At 40.9% G+C, this 19,585-nt stretch overlaps 1 protein-coding gene across 3 annotated transcripts in view, besides 1 other annotated feature; it reads left to right on the top strand.

Annotated features, from left to right (window-relative positions):
* KCNN2 (potassium calcium-activated channel subfamily N member 2) overlaps positions 1-19,585 on the top strand; it is a 440,519-nt gene that overhangs the window by 52,919 nt on the left and 368,015 nt on the right. The window lies entirely within an intron of this gene.
* Positions 14,605-14,815: a silencer, noted in NCBI's record as "fragment chr5:113459198-113459408 (GRCh37/hg19 assembly coordinates)". NCBI's record gives its function as "represses an EF-1alpha promoter that drives an FKBP-Casp9 reporter gene in an ReSE screen in K562 erythroleukemia cells {active_cell/tissue: K562}" and the evidence as "EXISTENCE:reporter gene assay evidence [ECO:0000049][PMID:32094911]".

The raw sequence follows: 19,585 nt of genomic DNA on the forward strand, positions 1-19,585 counted from the left end.
TGGGTCATAAGATAGATGTACATTTGAAGTTATAAAAATTTGCCAAAGAGTTTTCCAGAGTGGTTTATTTATTTTATATTTCCAGTATCAGTTTATGAGAGTTGCTGTTGCTTTACATTCTCACCAATTTGGTGTTGTGCCAAGCTAATCTTGGCAGAGATTAGCTCAGGATCTCTCAGAAGTCTCAAGGTGTCACTCAAGCTTGGAGTCTCATCAGATGCTCAAATGGGGAAGGATGTGTTTCCAAGCTTGTAGTCATTAGCAGGATTCAGGTCCTCATGGATTGTTGGACAGAGGGCCTCAGCTACTTGCTGGCAACTGTCTGAAGGCTGCTTTGAGTTATTTGCCATGTAGCTTTCTCTATAGGGCAGCTTTCTTCACCAAAGCCAGCAATGAAGAGAATCAGTCATTAAGGTCTGGCAGCAGGGTACAAGTTACCATCTTATGTAACATACTCAAGGAAGTAACATCTTAACAACTTTGCCTTATGCTCTTGGTTAGAAGGAAGTTGCAGGTCCTGCCAACACTCCAGGGGAGGGGATTGTACAAGGGCATGAATAACAGGATGTAGGGATAATTGGGGCCATCTTAGAGTTTGTCCACCTCAACTAGTTTCAGGGATGATTAAAACCCTTCTCCAGAGATGCACACTTTTTTTTGTCTTAGCCATAACACCTTGGAGAGTAATGACACAACCGAATATGACCAAATAAATGTAATAGGGTGGGACAAATTGGGAGAACTCAGGTTTTGTAGTTACATGTGTTCCTTCATGTGGAGAAAGTCCAATTACAGTGCAACAAGAGGTTCCAAACTGTGGCTCCTTAATGTCTCAACAGAAACAGGGCACAGGTATGCCTCCTGGCAGATGAGGCAGATGTTCACCATCTGGGGATGTGTTCACAGGTAGCATGTCTGTCAAGGCGTGGGGATTTTCTGGTAGTGTTCCAGTTCCTGGGAGGGACTTGCAAGAGCATGGGTAGTACTATGATTTGAAAGCGGCCCCTCCAAATCTCAGATGTTGCCAATGTGATGGTAGTAAGAGGTGGGATTGTTAAGAGGTGATTAGTCCATGAGGGCTCCTCCCCTCATGAATGAGATTAAGGCTCTTATAAAAGAGGCTTCACAAAGCTTTTGTCTCTTGCCCTTCCTCCATGTGAGAGCATAATGTTACTCCCCTCTAATGGATGCAGCCCTCACTAAACAACTAAACCTGCTGTTGCCTTGATCTCAGACTTTCCAGCCTCAGGAACTTTGAGAGAAAAATATCTATCTTTTATAAATTACCCAGTCTGAGATATTTTGTTGTATCAGCACAAGACAGATTAAGACAGGTAACAAGCCAATACTGGGCATAATAGCAATATAAAGAAATGGGTCTAAGACATAACCATGGTGTGTAAATTATTAGAACTAAGGCAGAAGTTTTAGGAGTAGGCTTAGAAATAAGAAACATAGATCTCAGGACTAAGGTACCAGGTGAAGACCAGCTCAGGTGAATCCTGGAGAACGTGGGGCTCATAAATTCATAAATTTCTCTTGCTCTCAGACAGGATTGACTTTAGAAAACGGAATTAAATCTGAAGCTACAAGGGGAGAGAGACCCTAGAATCCAAAAATATTGTAGAATTGATTGTCAGGGTACTCCTCTAAGGCCTTGGATGCTGGCAATAAAAGTAACCTTACTTTCAGTTTCCTTTTTTTCCCATTCTCTTTTGGACACACCATCTCCAGTGCCTAAATATTCTAGCTCTCCAGGACATTTCTATTTTAAGCTTCTTTCTAATAGTAGAATAAAATGCCTCGTGCCTTAGTTTGGGATTTTGAATATTCTGGGATAGGTAGAAGAGTTGCATGGGAAAATGGCATGCTATGTCTATGTCTTTCTGAAATCATATCTACAGACAGCTACTTATCTTTCAATAAAAGGATCTCTGTCCATTCATTTGCTGAATGATGGTTGAGAAGCTACTGTTGCTATGAACTGTGTTAGTGCTGGAATAAAATTAGAATTTAAAAAATGCACATTATTCCTACCCTCAGAATTGGAAAAAACTACTTCACAGAATTGGAAACAATTACTCTAAAGTTCATATGGAACCAAAAAAGAGCCTGCATTGCCAAGACAATTCCTAAGCAAAAAGACCAAATCTGGAAGCCTCGTGCTACCTGACTTCAAACTATACTACGAGGCTCTAGTAACAAAAACAGCATGGTACTGTTACCAAAACAGATATATAGACCAATGGAACAGAACAGAGGCCTCAGAAATAACACCACACGTCTACAACCATCTGATCTTTGACAAACCTGGCAAAAACAAGCAATGGGGAAAGGATTCCCTCTTTAATAAATGGTGCTGGAAAAAACAGGCTAGCCATATGTAGAAAGCTGAATCAGGATCCTTTCCTTACACCTTATATAAAAATTAACTCAAGATAGATTAAAGACTTCAATGTAATACCTAAAACCATGAAAACCCTAGAAGAAAACCTAGGCAATCCCATTCAGGACACAGGCATGGGCAAAGACTTCATGACTAAAACACGAAAAGCAAGGGCAACAAAAGCCCAAATTGACAAATGGGATCTAATTAAACTAAAGAGCTTCTGCACAGCAAAATAAACTATCATCAGAGTGAACAGGCAACCTACAGAATTGGAGAAAATTTTTGCAATCTATCCATCTGACAAAGGGCTAATATCCAGAATCTACAAAGAACTCAAACAAATTTACAAGAAAAAAACAACCCCATCAAAAAGTGGGCAAAGGATATGAACAGACACTTTTCAAAAGAAGATATTTATGCAGCCAACAGACACATGAAAAAATGCTTATCATCACTGGTCATCAGACAAATGCAAATCAAAACCACAATGAGATACCATCTCATGCCAGTTAGAATGGTGATCATTGTAAAGTCAGGAAACAACAGGTGCTGGAGAGGATGTGGAGAAATGGGAACACTTTTACACTGTTGGTGGGAGTGTAAATTAGTTCAACCATTGTGGAAGACAGTGTGGTGATTCCTCAAGGATCTAGAACTCGAAATACCATTTGACCCAGCCATCCCATTACTGGGTATATACCTAAAGGATTATAAATGGTGCTGCTATAAAGACACATGTGCATGTATGTTTATTGCAGCACTATTCACAGTAGCAAAGAAGTGGAACCAACCTAAATGTCCATGAATGATAGACTAGATTAAGAAAATATGGCACATATACAACATGGAATACAATGCAGCCATAAAAAAGGATGAGTTCATGTCCTTTGTAGGGACATGGATGAAGCTGGAAACCATCATTTTCAGCAAACTATCACAACGGCAGAAAACCAAACACTGCATGTTCTCACTCATAGGTGGGAATTGAACAATGAGAACACATGGACACAGGGTGGGGAACATCACAGACTGGGGCCTGTTTGGAGGTGGGGGGCTGGGGAAGGGATGGCATTAAGAGAAATACCTAATGTAAATGATGAGTTGCTGGGTGCAGCAAACCAACATGGTGCATATATACCTATGTAACAAACCTGCACGTTGTGCACATGTACCATAGAACCAAAGTATAATAAAAAATACATAAATAAATAAAAAGGCTTCTGGGTCACATGAGCTTTTCCAAAAACACATTGATCCAATTTTATTTTTTTCACCAATCATTTATGGTGACTTTGGGCCTGAGATACTTTTTGGGCGATTCTCTAGTAAGTATATAAACTGAATAAAGCAGTTAATCTCAAAGGTCTGTAAATTTCAAGATTGTATTTGTATTACAAACCTCATTAAAAGCTGAAAATGCAAATAAGTATGTGGGTGGAGAAACAGGAAGTATCTATATTAAATTGTGTTTTATTTTCCAGACTGAATTAAAATAATTTCTGAAAAGATGAATAACACCGGTTATGCACATGAGAGTGAGGGCATATTACTTCAAAATGTGTTATGTTTCTACATGCTAATGGGATCTTTTTGCATCCTCTCAGTTCAGAGAATATAATTCCTCTTTTTGGGTAATTTTTATATCTGAAAACTTGAAAGGCAGAAATTAATTTAATCAAATAGCCAGAGTCTGAATTGCTTCATGTTTCAACTTCAAATACTGAGAGAGGAATGCACTTATTAAAGATGGGTAGTGATTCAGACAGGAACCTCATGGAACCATTGAGGGCCAGGCTCCTTAAAGGGTTTTTTAAAACTTCAAAAAATTTTTTATCTGCTTTAAAGATCTCTAAATAAAACCATTTTATCTCTCTTATTTGGGAAATGTTCAATGTCGAATGAGTCTGGAGTTCTTTCCCAGGATGAGTTAAAGTCTCTCTTGCTACTCTTTAAGGCTATTTCTTCTTACTCAGAATGACTGTCAGCTGCCTAGGATCTTTCATGAAATAATGTTTCATATAATTGAGGAGAGTCATGAAGTCAGATCTCGGTCTCATTATCCAAGTTAAAATCACCAAGCAAAAGAGCGGTATGTAATCACATACTTAATGTGGAGAAGAAAAAGTCAAAGGTAGCTTAGGGGAGGAGAAAAACTTTTTTCCTCTCCCTCTTAGGTTCATTGGCTGGGGCCCTGTAAAATAGACTGAGAAAAGACAGATTAACAGGAGAAAAGGCAAAAAAATTTTATCTGACGTTAGCTTTTCTTAACACAGGGGCCTTCCTAGAAAAGAAGTAAAGCTTCAAAGAAGTAGATAGGCCTGAGAATTTATGTACCATTTTTAACAAAGAGTGATAAATTATGGACATGTGACAAGGCAAAGGAAAGATTTTTTTAGCTTCTGGGAGTGGTAACCTGAGGAAGGCAGATATATGGGAGAATCTAATGGAAGATCCAGGTTATTTTAGTAAGGCTTGGTTGTGCAGGTTCATCTTGGTGCCAACTTTCTGTCTTCTTCATGGCCAAAAACTTCCTCGCAGGAGGGAGTCTATGGCAGTACTCATTGCTCAGGAGTTTCTGGTTTTAGTCAGGTAAAGGAAGTCCTGGCAGCTTCTGTGAAATCTCAGTTTCCTTCAGTTCAAAGTAATCCTTATGTCAAAATGACCTATTTTGGGGTAGCATATTTTGGGGTGACATTTGGATCACCTTCAGTATCATAGATAGTCTGTTAGTGATAACCCACTGGGTAAACAACTCTAGCCAACTGTCCCTTTTCTTGTAAGTCTCTTTTCCAAACTTACAATGTATGTTTTTATTCTTCTGGTTTTTCTATTAATCACTTAGATTAGAAGTGGTTATACAGAAGGACATTTCTGTGTGTGAAAAGTTAAATTGATGCAGACTCTTCTTCTTCTTCCTGGACTGCACTGGTGGAATTCACTTACTCATCAAAACATTTTTTTAGAGACAGGTCTCACTCTTTTTCCCAGGCTGTAATGCAGTGCTGCAATCATAGCTCACTGTAACCATGAACTCCTGGGCTCAAGTGATCCTCTTGCTTAGCCTCCTGATTAGCTAGGATGATAGTCATGCACCACTATGCCCAGCTAAATTTTTAAATTTATTTTTATTTTTTGTGGAGACAAGGTCTCGCTTTGTTGCCCAGGTTGGCTTTGAAACCCTGGGCTCAAGTGATCCTCCCACCTTAGCTTCCCAAAGTGCTGGAGTTATAGGCGTAAGCTTTTCCAGTCCTTAGTTTGTTCCAGGTACTGTTAAAGGTTCTAGGGATGCAGCTGAGAAAATGAAATAAACAATGAAAACATGGCTCCTCTCATGGACTATGAATAAAATGGAGTGATTGTACAGTTTATTCTGGAACTGGAAACTGGATTATTCCTTGCTAATCTATTTGTTTTCACTCATCACCTCATTGTTGGTGGTTTTCTAATCAATCATCTAATCAGCATTCACTGAGTGTCCACTCCTGCCAAGCATTAGGCTCTCGTGGAGCTGGTAATCTAGCTAGCAAGAAGAAATCAAAATGGATCATTGCACGACAATTTTAGGCAATCAAAATATTTCACACAGCAATACAGGATTAACAGCTTCGCCTAGACTATTAGCTCAATTCTATGACTTCTCAGGAGGTGTTTGCTAAACTATGTCATGGAATATTTCCTTTTCCCTTCACAATATTAGTTGGTGGGATATATATAATGTAAAAATAATTTGATGTCTGCCTGCATACCTATGAGTTAATAGAATTGCTGTGGTGACATGGTGAAGTTCTAATTCTCTTTCTTCATTCTGGGAATCTCTTTGCTCTGAATGAATTTAGTAAGATGTCAGGCTTTCATTGAGTTCACTAAGCCTAGTGATTATTCCATATGATTGATTTTATTAAAAATAAGCTTACAAGCAGCAAAATGTTGACAATAATTTGATGTTCCCGAAAATGTCTAACTTTTCTAATTTATGCAAATAATTTTTTCCTTATTAACTTGCTTTTTAAGCATTGTATTGAATACTAACCATTTGTCACCTATAAAATGCTTTTACTGCTCCTCAGACCATAGCTAGCATTGTGCAAGTTTTAAAGACAACAAATTAACATTCTATGCTGTGGGTTAACCACTGGAAACCTTGTATAATGGCATTTGATTATATAAGGCTGATGATTTAGTCTCATGAAAATCCTACCTAATCGCTTGGGTAACTTTCATCATCTTTCATAAAAGAAGATGACATGAATGCCAGTGATGATAGGGAAATGTCAGATTCTCTTTCTAGCAGCTGTTGGTACCCAGACTTCCAAAGATTTGACACTTTGTTTGAATCCTGGTAAGCTCTCTGCACTTGAGAAATTATCATTCTGGGTGATTTGGGAAATGTTGGCCCACTGAGGGAAAAAAAAAGGTAAGATTGAAAGGGAAGAAGGAAGTTGTAGTAGACATCTTTTAGGGTATCATCCAGCTAAAGAGCCTGCCCTTTCTTTTGGTGTTTGATACTAGATTTGCGAGGAATAAGCCACCCAGCTTTGTATTAATATAAGCCCCTGTACTCTTGGCGATAACTCCTTGGTTTCTTGTTACATACATATATGTTGGCAGGAATTTCTTTCTTGGGATTTTGGAATCAGGATGCAAAGACAGCTGGCATACATGTAGATGAGAATGGGACAGTAACAACAAAATTTAGGAGCTGAGAATAGAAACTTCTGCCCTGTGAATAAAGGAGGGAGAATGCAGATCTACATAGAATGAAAGGAAGGAAGCAGAGTTTAGCGAGCAGAAGAAATATGAGATGAGTCTGCTGGGTTCTTGTTCCTTCCAGGTGAAGTGGTAGTGGAATGCTTCCACTGGAGCCAAGTAGAAAGTGAGACCTCCCCAAGTCACAAAGAGAGAGAGAGCGAGGGAGAGGTGTATCCCCATGGGAAAACCAGAGGGTCATTGCCAGAGGATGGGAGAATGAATGTCAGGAAAACAAAACAAAGGAGGTTCTCTGCAGTCAGAGAGGCAAAGGGAGAATTTTTAAATAAAAGAAAGTTTTTCTGATTATCCGACTAAAGTTACAAGTCATTGTAGAATTGGAATTAAAATTGTTTGAAAAGATGTTTAAATGTAAGTGATAAGTACACTACTATTTTCTTGCTCCTTATTAACATTGATTTTGTGATCATTTGATCAGGATTAGGGTGATATTTTCCTCATGTATATAGTATATGTAGAAAGGATTCTTTCTAATGAACTGTGAAATTGTGACATAAGAGGGTTCCTGTTTACCCACTTAAGCAAATGCTTCAGGAGGCAGTTTAGTAATATCCATTACTTCGTGCATATATTGCTAATGATTACAAATGTGTTTTTCTGGCACACTTTGAAGGGTAAAACAATATTTAGTAATTTAAACCTTCAGGTGTCATTTCCTGCAGTTATTTTGATTTGGTAAATTTCTACTTGGCCATCATCCATTTTTGATTCTCTAGCAAGTTGTGGGAGACTTTGGTTTTGAACAACTGTCAAATAATTTATATACACTCTTTAAAGAATGATTGGATATTAGGGATGAGGATATGTCCTTATCTTTTGCTTCCCTGGACAGTTACCCATTTCTGTTCATCATAATATTGCCATCTGCTTCCATGAGTATAAAAAGTCATGCAAGGAGACAGTCAGACAGGTCTTGTTTGATAATGGTCATTTGTGGCCTTCTCTGCTTGTAAGAAGGCTCGGAGGGCTCTGTGACCTTCACAATGGTAGACATTTAACCACAGAAACAATGTGAGTAGAAAACATAAGCAGAGAGCCAAGAGGGAAATTTAATTTCTGGCTTACTTTTTACATGAGAGATCAAGACATGACTAAGCATATCGCCCAAGCTTGCTTATGAATAGCCAGATAGACACAGACCTAGGATCCAGCTGGGAGTTTTCTAACCTGGCCACTTTTATACCTGCATTGGGTGTGGCCACTCTGAGAACCGCAGTAGCTTTTTTCACCTCGTCTTACAGAGGGCAGCCTGGATCATGTTCAGTGTTCATTCTCCTGCCTAACCCACTCTGACCACTGTGGTAACCCTCTGAGTGCCTCACCCTTCCTTTTCCTAGTAAACATAGTGGATACCACAGCTTATTCCCTGACAGGGGTCCTGTCTGAGGGGCCACCTGGGAGTAGTCAGCACCAGTGCCTTGGGCCTCTGTTTCTTCAGCAACGGCAAAATGTACTTGGGTGACAACAGTCTGCCTTTGAAATAACTGGAGAGCAGTGAATTGCTTGAGCCGTGGATTGTCTGCATGCAGATATGGACCCAGGCATCCAGAAGAGAGATAGCTCAAGAGGCCTGGGGGAAATAAGATTTGACCTATTTAGAAAGGAGTAGAAGCATTGAGAGGGAGGTCTTTGAGGAGAGGTGGGAAAGCTTTCAGTGGGAAGAACTGCATGACCCAATACAGAACTGGAAATATTAACAATGTAAGTAGTCCTTGAGCCCTCATGTCATGCAGGGCACTGTGCCACATGTTTGACATGCACTATCTCATTTAATCCCTTGATCTTCAGTCCAGTGCTCTACCTCTGAGCTGTACCCTCTCCTTCATTTAATCCCTATAGGTAAGTGCCCTTATCATTCTCATTTCAGTGCAGAGGAAAGCTCAGGGAGGTGAACTGGTTTGCCACATATCACAAAGTTCATAAGGGGCAGAGGCTGGAGTACATCAAACAGATATAGCTACAAAGAGGTGGAAAGGCTGGCCTTGCCATCACCAAGAGTTTGTGTCATATAGAGCTGCCCTGCAGTAATAGCTAGCACAACTGTACAGCTACAGAAGTGTAAAGCTGTACAAAGAAGGGTTACCTTTACAGCATTTCCCTAGCTTAGTGAAAAGGCAAGTCTTGAACTCTCACGATTTCCAGGAGCTGCGGTGCTCTATTGTTGAGTCATTTGAAATTCATTTTCACCCCGTTCCCTAAAAAACCTCAGTAATATCAACACATCAGTGCACACACACAGGCACACACATACACACACTCTCTCACTCATTCATGAGAAAAAGAAAGATTTGTTCTGAGGAATTGGCTCATTCCAATTATGGAGGCCAAGACGTCCTGCAATCTACAGTCTGCAAGTTGGAGACCCGGGAAAGCCAGTTTGTGTAATTCAGTACAAGTCTGAAGGCCTGAGAACCAGAGGTGTAAATCCTAGCCCAAGGTTAGGAGAAGATGAGCTGAGTTGTCCCAGCTCACCAGTGAGGCAGAAAAAATAAGAGGAGGAAGACAGATGCCTTCTTCCTCTGGCTTTGGTTCAGGCCCTCTGTGACTGAATGATGCCCACCCACACTGGGGAAGGCAGGCTGTCTTATCAAGTATGCTGATTTGCATGTGAATCTCAGTCAGAAACACCCTCACAGATGCATCTAGAAATGTTTATTCTTGGCATCCTGTGGCCCAGTCAGGTTGACACATAAAGTTAATCATCAGACATATACCTACTGGATGCCTATGATTTGTTAAGCAAAACCAAAACCACATTCTGCAGGGCACAGCTGATGATGTCCTTCTCACTTTTCCTCACTCAGGAACAACTGAAACAGGTGGCACCTTCGGAGACAAGATGGAGGCAGGATAGGGGAGGGGATGAGGATATAGACCATGGAGACTGACAGACCTGGGCCTTGATCCCAGTGCCACAGTTTCTTCATATAGAAGAGGAGGAGGATAATGCCAATCTCATGGGGGTGGATATAACAAGGAACAAGCAAAACCCCCAAAGGTGTTGATGCCTAAACATGCAGTATATTAAGTGCCTAGTAAATATTACTAAAGCAGTATTGCCAGGAGAATCAGTTTATTCCTTTCTAAGTTTGGTTAGAGGTGTTTCCAGATTTAGTCAAAGCAATCCAGTGGGTCAGCCCAGGAGCGAGTTCTGGAGCTCACAGCTCTGATGTGCAGGCCACTGACTGTTCTCACTACCTCATGCTCCATTATTAAAGAGTCCCATAGAGGGAGAGCATGTTCAAACAACCAAATCGTACTTAGATACACAAAAGTCTGATAAATTAGGGAAGTATTGGGAATGGTCTCATTTATAAGTGTTTTCCATTGGCTTCTTTTAGATACGAAGCTTTTTTGTGCTTTAATTCTTTTTCAAATTAAAGAACATGAATTTATGCACACCAGTTTTCTAATCTGTCCTCAGCATATCTAGCCAGTGTTATTTTTAACCACCGTTATTTGGCACATCATCTAATAGAGGTGGGCTGCTCATATCGCAGGCCCCTTCTATTTTCTGTGAAGTTCTCTCCTCTATACCCTGAACATTCTAATTCCTCCCATTGGAAGCATCCCGTCTTCCTCCTGTCTGATCACACCCTCCCTTTTCTTCAAGACTCTGTTTAAGATCCACGTGTTCTAAGAAGCCCTCATTTTGGGCCAGAGTCCTCTCCACCTGCTCTGATATTTGAAAATCGCATATGATATTCTTGAAAGCTTTAGAGCTCCAAAAAGCCTTCATCACTAAGCAAAGTGACTATAGCCCAAAGGTTCTGACTATCTGCGTGGCTATGCTGATCGAGAAAGACTGAGGCAGACTTACTATGTCTTGGTGTCTCGCATAGGTTTTGAGGACAATTGAGATGCTGGAGATCATCAGCATCATGCCATTAGGAGATGGAAAGTCACCAAGAAGGAAAAGAAAAACACAGCATGTGCGCATGTGCAAACTTATTTATTTACTCAGTAAAGGGCATATAAGAAATCTATGCCAGGGAAGGTCAACAAGGGCAGTACCCTACTCTTTGATCATCATTTATCCAGGAAGCTCTTGATTTTTTTAAAAGAATAAAGCCCTAAACATTATGGAAATATACCTGTTTTCTGAGGTTTCATTAAATTATACTTAAGTTCATTTTTCATGTGAAAAATGTGCTTCAGGCTTCAATATGATGAATCGTTTCCTCCTGTGTGACAGTGGTGGAGGAAGTTAATTTAGCACTGCCGCAGTAGTCCTGGTTGTCTCCTATTTTATTCTGGGGCTGTTGATTAATAGGATTACACTGGAGTGATTACAGCTGCCAATTTGTTTATCCCATCACTGGGGTCAGCGCTGAGGATCTTATTTCAGGTTTCTCTGGTTTTGAAACCTGGTTTGTCATGTTTGTAATGTAATAAACTTCTGCTGTATCATCACCCTTTGGAGTGTTCAACTAAGCTAAATGAACTCTCGAGCCATCCATGTTATGGGAATTTGAGTCATTTGTTCACAAAGTATTGATTGAGCACCAGTGGTGAGCAATATCTTATACTGTGCTGAGAAAATCAAGGCCATTGCACTTGATGCAAAGGGGGAGGCCAATTTATACTTTGGGAACCTGAGTATTGGCAAAGTGTAAGCAGTGGGAGATGGGGAGGCAACATGGTAAGTGACTAATACCTATCTAGGCTTTAGTATCATCAATAATAAAGTAAATAATTAGACCAAATAATTTTTTTGTATTTATTCAGATTGTGGAACACTTTGCCATTTTGTGGAGTGTCAAGAAATACTGACACTTAGTTCCACTATGTAAACTAGGAGATATATTTTATAAGTATGTATCTGCTGTATGATCCTGAGCATGGCATACTTAAAAATATGAGCTGCTGTGTCTAGGGAGCAGTACTTCCCTTAGACCTGGGCAAATGGGGCCTCTGCCCCAGGCCTTATCAATTGGGGTGTCTTGTGCCTTGACTGTGTCTTCCTTGAAATTTTCTAAATTCCCCTATGATGTCTGGAATGGTCCAGGGTTGGTAGTGCCATCCAGTCAGGGTGTCCTGAACCTGGGTTGGAACATGCATGGGCCTCCGTCTCCTTTTTTCCTTTTGGAAGTATTTGGAGCTCTCCACCACACATGACAGATTAACCAGATATCCTGAGGACCTGTGGAATTTGCACCTATGGTATCATCCCAGGGTTCCATGGCTGGACTCAAATGCCAGGACTCTGGTTTCAAAGGGTATCTTGGTAAGTTGATCACTCCTGCAAGCCCATGTAGTATTTCCTTTGTGAGCTCACACAAGATTAGGCTACGAGCATGGTGCCCATGTGATTGATGTGATCATTCCAGGTAACTCTCACATATGTACACAGGATGAGCTCAGGGCCCTGCAGTACCCCTGGCACACTACCATCCCTTAGACCTGAGCCATGTATACGGACCTATATACTGGCTCTTGCTTACCCATGTTGTGACTGCAGGTTCATCTCCATTCGGCAGTACAGAAGGCAGCAAGATTGGAGACAAGCGTCCTTTACCCATAACCCCCCAGCTGCTGACAATAAGGAAAGTTGCCCCATCCTCTCCATACTACATGTTGGGCCATGCCTGGTAGTGGCTGCACCTATTTCCTCATAAGCATTTTTAGACTGTGGCTCTGCAGTGCCAATGGGTCCTCCCAGCTGATATCCTCTCTTGCCTCTGATCGATGTGGTGACATCATACTCTCCCAACTTGGTCTTAAGGTATGTTGGATAAGCGAGAGACATTTCTTGCCCCCATGGAAACACTCCTTTTACCCCCACCTGGGTGGCTGTGTGTGGAAGGCAACAGTGTGTTCAACACTGAAAAAGATCACACTTTAATAATGCCAGGATTATGTTCTTAAGAGTTCAAAGAAGACAAGGGATTGGAGGATGTTTGTTCTGTTTTACACCATACAATTTTGAAGAGTAAATTTAACACAATCAAAGAACAAATTATCATTTACATTTTTGTGCATCCTCTGAGTGAGACTTGCATGTGTAGGCATTGTCAGTAAAGCACAATAACAACTTTTGTGAGAGTCATTAGAAGCCAGTATTTATAGGCAGCACAATGAATGATGTGGTGTTAGGAGTAATAATGTAATCAGCATTAAATAAATGGAGTTAGGGAACTGAAGAGGCAAGCAGGCCTACATTTTTAAGAATCTGAATAGGTTTGAAGAGCCATGGCATTGTGAGTAATAACAGCATTGCTACCTTTTTCTCCCAGAAGGCAGTATGAAAGAGCCAGGAATTAGGCATATGACAATAAAGAATGTGAATTGATGATTCCTCTTCCTGGACAGGAAGAGATGGTGCTTTAACACTAAGAAGAATCTTCATATGCACTGATTGGAAAAGAAACCAATATATATCTCTTTTCTACTCATTATTCTGTCCTTTCATTGAAAAATCACTATACCTTATACGAGCCCATGAATTCCTATTACGTTTTAAAGATCAAACTGCTAGTATAAGACAAGGCCCTGCAAAATTATTTGCCAAGTGTCCTTCACTCCCTAGGGATGTCTTTGTTGGGTAGGATACTTAGTGGTACTCAGGAAATAAGATGCTCTCTGTGCTGCCCATTGGATAATTTGTTTTGAGCTTGGACTCAAAGCTGGAATTAATTCTCCCCAACAAAAAAGGAGAGGAATATGAAGCACCCTATTTCTCAACAGAAAGAGAAAACAAACGAGGAAGAGGGTGAGGGATAGAGAGAGCAGGAGACACCTGGAAGAGAAGGCTGCTTGGCTGCAGACATAGAAGAGAAATCACCCCTGGGATGGGAAGTTCTTGTTTATCTAAGAACACTGGAGGAAAGCAAATTCTTGTAAGTAGAAGAAGAACACGCTATATTTTAAAATATCTGCATTATGTAGTTAGGAACACAGAGATTTAGCATTTTCTGTAATGTAACCAGGAGGTTTTGGAGAATGACAAGTGGATCCATCCCAGAGCAGACTTAATGTGTGACAGATGACAGTGTGAGAGACAGTATATAAGGACGGTAGAAAATGAATGATGTGACACAAAGATAAATCCATGTTATCAGTGCACCAGGCACCACTCTTACTGAGGCAGTGTTTTTTTTGCCCAGATATCTTATATCTCTAATTCACTGTAATTTTTCAAATAATTATTGACAGATTCTTTACTCACATTTGCTGCTGTATTGTATCCACTTTTTTTCTGTGCTTGGAGGTTTGCATGTATTCAAAGCAAGCAGGTGCATCCTTAGTATAACATCACTTACTTTGAGTTCTAATACTGTAAGAGGTACATTTTCTTAATTTTTTTTTTTTTTTTTTTTTTTTTTTTTGAGACAGAGTCTCGCTCTGTTGCCCAGGCTGGAGTGCAGTGGCGCGATCTCGGCTCACTGCAAGCTCCGCCTCCCGGGTTCACGCCATTCTCCTGTCTCAGCCTCCCGCGTAGCTGGGACTACAGGCGCCCGCCACCACGCCCGGCTAATTTTTTGTGTTTTTTAGTAGAGACGGGGTTTCACTGTGTTAGCCAGAATGGTCTCGATCTCCTGACCTCGTGATCCGCCCGCCTCGGCCTCCCAAAGTGCTGGGATTACAGGCGTGAGCCACCGCGCCCGGCCTCATTTTCTTAATTTTTTTGTCAGATCAAATAAAAAGGTCCCTCTTGTCTTCAGCTTTTTTCATAAGCATCAGCAGATTTTTGACTTTGATATTCTAGATTCATGTCAGTCTGTTTTATTTCTCTTACACTGTATGCTCCTACTTCCTTTTTCAAATACATGCCTGTGAAACTTTGTCCCCTTGGGGACTCCCTGTGCAGCCACCTTGGTTTCTTGATGCTCTTACTAATTGCAATTGTGGGCTACACCAGGTCTTGTCAGTTACACAGCTGCTTTTTCAACTTGTCTGACCCTTACTGCCTTCTTTCCTTCCCAAATTTTTGCAACAAGAATGTTGTTTTACACAGAAAAAGCTAAATCTCAGTAATCAAGGTGTCATAAATACCTCATGCTTGTTACGGTTTATAACATATATATTTGGGTATAGTTTTCATTGAATTCTTCCATTTTCTGCTAGTTTGATCAGCCAAGTTGTTTGTCATCATAATGGCAGGTTTGAGGTCAGGATGATAAATGGATTGAAATTATCAAAGGGATAACTTCAAAAAGGTTTTGGACATTCAAATAAAAGGAAAGGAAAAGAACCTTTAGGGGACTCTTCATAAAACAAGTTCTTTCCCCAAATCACAAATAATTCTTGAACATTTGTTACTTTTCTTCAGAGATCTAGAAAGGAAAAATCACAGAACAAATGCCATGGATGTTTGCAAAACTGGAGTTCACTGTGGGCGGTGAGGTAAGGGACACCGTATGGAACTTGGAGAATCTTAATAAGTAGAAACTGCAGCCTCAAAAACCATGATCTGCCCCCCCTGGAATTTCCTGTGGGTGGTGAAGTAAGGGACATTGTGTGTGCCTTGGAGCATCAAAATTATTACAAGTAGAAGCTCTCACCTCTGTTAACTTCCCTTCCCACCACATTACCTGTCTGACCTCATCTCCCGTTACTCTCTCCCTTGTCTCTGCTCCAGTCCAGGCGGCATTTTCCCTGGTCTTTGGAAGACAGTTTGCCCTCAGGATGGCACAATTGCTGTCTCCTCTATTCTCAACATCTTTTCCAAGAAATTTACACTGTTTGCCTTCTCATTTCTTTCTGGTCTTCTATCAAATTGCTTCAGCTCAATGTAACCTTTTTTTCCTGTCCACATTATGTAAAATTGGTATACACCTCCAATACACACACTTTGTGTTATTCTTCTTGGCTTTATTTTTCTTCTCACTATTATCACATCTATCGTTAGAAATACTTTATTTATTTATCTTGTTAATTTTTCCTTCTCATTCACCAGAGGTAAGCTTTGGAGGAAGAAGATATTTTCTGTTCTGATCATTGCTGTGTCCTCAGTCAATACAGTAGTACCTGAGACACAGCCCTGAATAAATGTTTGTTGAATGAATAAATAAAACCTCAACTAAAAGGGGCAATTGGTTACCTAAAATTTTGCTCTAATTTGTATATATTGGAGAAATCGTGTTATAATAGAATATGTTAAACTTAGGGGTTTCTTCCCCCCAAATTTAACTTTTTGTACCCTCATGGTAGGTGTTAGACTAAAAGTTAAACAAATAAAAACTCCAGTGTTTACCCACCATCTTTAAAAGTCTTGATGAAACTGTGTAGCACTTTTCTTTGGAGGGTGGGACTACTTTCCCACTGTAGTTTTGGAGTCTCAGCTGAAATTAAGACAGGAAGTTTCATTTTATATCCTGTTGCATTAGTATTAACATATTTTTAAATTCATGCTAATCAGCATCATTGGTATAAAATGGAATAAAATGAATTTGTAGGGAGTGTTGCTCCCATGTATATTCTAAAGCAAGTAGGAAAGCTCTCCACTTTTATCACCTTGCTTTCTACTCTACAACTTCCTAAAAAAAATCTATTCTCCCACAGTTCTAGAGGCTGGAAGTCCAAGATCAAGGCGTCCACAGGGTCATACACCCTTTGAGACTTGTAGGGTGCATTAGTTTGCTAGGGCTACCATAAGTACCATGGATGTGGTGATTTACACAGAGATTTATTTTCTTACAGTTCTGGAGGTTAGAAGTGTGAGATCAATGATTGGTTTATTCTGAGGCCTCTCTCTTTGTCTTGTAGGTGGCTGTCTTCTCCCTGTGTCTTTACAGCATCTTCCCTCCATATGTGTCTGTGTCCAAATTTCCTCTTATAAGTACAGCAATCATAGTGGATTGGGGCCCATCCTAATGCTTCATTTTAACTTAATTACCTCTTAAAGGCCCTATCTCCAAACAGTCACAAAGGTACTGGAGGTTTGAACTTCAGCACATGAATTTTGGGAGGACACAATTCAGCCCATAACAAAGGGTATCCTTCCTATGTTCTGTTGGTTTTCTAGCAATCTTTGGCATTCCTTGGGTTATACATACATAACACCAATCTTCCATCTTTATGTGATATTCTCCTGGTGTCTCTTCACATCATTTTCCAGCTGTGAGCATCTGTTTCTCTGTTCAAGTCACCCCCTTTCATAAGGACACCAGTGATACTGGATTAGGTCCCATCCTAATGAACTCATTTTAACTTAATTAGCCCTGGAAAGACCCTATTGCTGAATAAGGTCACTATATTACTCTGTTCTCAGGCTGCTAATAAAGACACACTCAAGACTGGGTAATTTATAAAGGAAAAAGTTTAATTGACTCACAGTTCAGCATGGCTGGGGAGGCCTCAGGAAACTTACAGTCATGGCAGAAGGGGAAGCAAACATGGCCTTCTTCATATGGCAGCAGCAAGCAGAAGAATGAGTGCCCAGTATAGGGGGAAGCCCCTTATAAAATCATCAGATCTTGTGAGAACTAACTCATTCTCATGAGAACAGGATGTAGGAATCCTCCCGCATGATTCAATTATCTCCACCGTGTCCCTCCCATGGCACATGGGGATTATGGGAACTACAATTCAAGATGAATTATGGGTGGGGACACAGCCAAACCATATCATTCTACCTCTGGCTTCTCCCAAATCTCATGTCCTCACATTTCAAAACCAATTATGCCTTTCCAACAAAGCCTTAACTCATTCCCCCAAAGCCTTAACTCATTAAGGAATTAACTCAAAAGTCCACAGTCCAAAGTCTCATCTGAGACAAGGCAAGTCCCTTCCACCTATGAGCCTGTAAAATCAAAAGCAAGTTAGTTACTTCCTAGATACAATGGGGGTACAGGCATTGAGTGAACACACCCATTCCAAATGGGAGAAATTGGCCAAAACAAAGGGGTTATTGGCTCCACGCAAGTCCAGAATCCAAAAAGGCAGTCATTAAACCTTAAAGTTCCAAAATGATCTCCTTTGACTCCATGTCTGATATCCAGGTCGCGCTGATGCAAGAGATGGGCTCCCATAGCCTTGGGAAGCTTTGCTCCTGTGGCTTTGCAGGGTACAGCCTCCCTTCCGGTTGCTTTCATGAGCTGGCATTGAGCGTCTGAGACTTTTCCAGGTGCATGGTGCAAGCTGTCAGTGAATCTACCATTCTGGGGTCTAGAGGATGGTGGCCCTCTTCTCACAGCCCCACTAAGCATTGTAGTGGGAACTCTGTGTAGGGGCTGGGGGCTCCGGCTCCACATTTTCCTTCTGCACTGCCCTGGAAGAGGTTCTCTGTGAGGGCTCTACCCCTGAAACAGACTTCTGCCTGAACATGCAGGCGTTTCCGTACATCCTGAGAAATCTAAGTGGAGGTTCCCCAACGTCAGTGCTTGACTTTTGTATACCTGCAGGCTCAACAACACGTGGAAGCTTGCACCCTCTGAAGCCATGACTCGAGCTGCACCTTGGCGTCTTTTAGCCACAGCTGGAGTGTCTGGGATGCAGGGCACCAAGTCGCTAGGCTGCACACAGCAGGGGAGCCCTCGGCCTGGCCTACAAAACCATTTTTTCCTCCTAGGCCTCTGGCCATGTGATGGGAGGGGCTGCTGGGAAGGTTTCTGATGTGCCCTGGAGACATTTCCTCCATTGGCTTGGTGATTAACATTCAGCTCCTTGTTTTTTATGCAAATTTCTGCAGCTGATTTGAATTTCTCCCCAGAAAATGGGTTCTTGTTTTCTATTGCCTCATCAGGCTGCAATTTTTCCAAACTTTTATGCTCTGCTTTCTCTTGAATGCTTTGCTACTTAGAAATTTCTTCCACCAGATACTCTAAATCATCTCTCTCAAATTCAAAGTTCCACAGATCTTTAGGGCAGGGGCAAAAATGCCTCCAATCTCTTTGCTGAAACACAGCAAGAGTCACCTTTATTCCAGTTCCCAACAAGTTTCTTATCTCCATCTCAGACCACCTCAGCTTGGACTTTATTGTGTATATCACTATAAGCATTTTGGCCAAAGCCACTCAACAAATCTCTAGGAAGTTCCAAACTGTCCCACATCTTCCTGTCTTCTTCTGAGCCCTCCAAACTGTTCCAGCCTCTGCTTGTTACCCAGTTCTAAAGTTGCTTCCACATTTTTGAGTATCTTTATAACAGCACCCCACTACCTGGTACCAATTTACTGTATTATTCTGTTCTAGTTCTGCTAATAAAGACATACTCAGGACTGGGTAATTTATAAAGGAAAGAGGCTTAATTGACTCACAGTTCAGCGTGGCTGGGGAGGCCTCAGGAAATTTACAATCTTGATGAAAGGGGAAGTAAATATGGCCTTCTTCACATGGCAACAGCAAGGAGAAGAATGAGTGCCCAGTGGAAGGGGAAGCCCCTTACAAAATAATCAGATTTCATGGGAACTAACTCACTATCGTGAGAACAGGCTGGGAGAAACTGCCTCCATGATTTGATTATCTCCACCTAGTCTCTCGCATGACA

The sequence above is a fragment of the Homo sapiens genome, chromosome 5 (genome assembly GCF_000001405.40).
Source record: "Homo sapiens chromosome 5, GRCh38.p14 Primary Assembly".
In the NCBI taxonomy this organism is placed as follows: domain Eukaryota; kingdom Metazoa; phylum Chordata; class Mammalia; order Primates; family Hominidae; genus Homo; species Homo sapiens.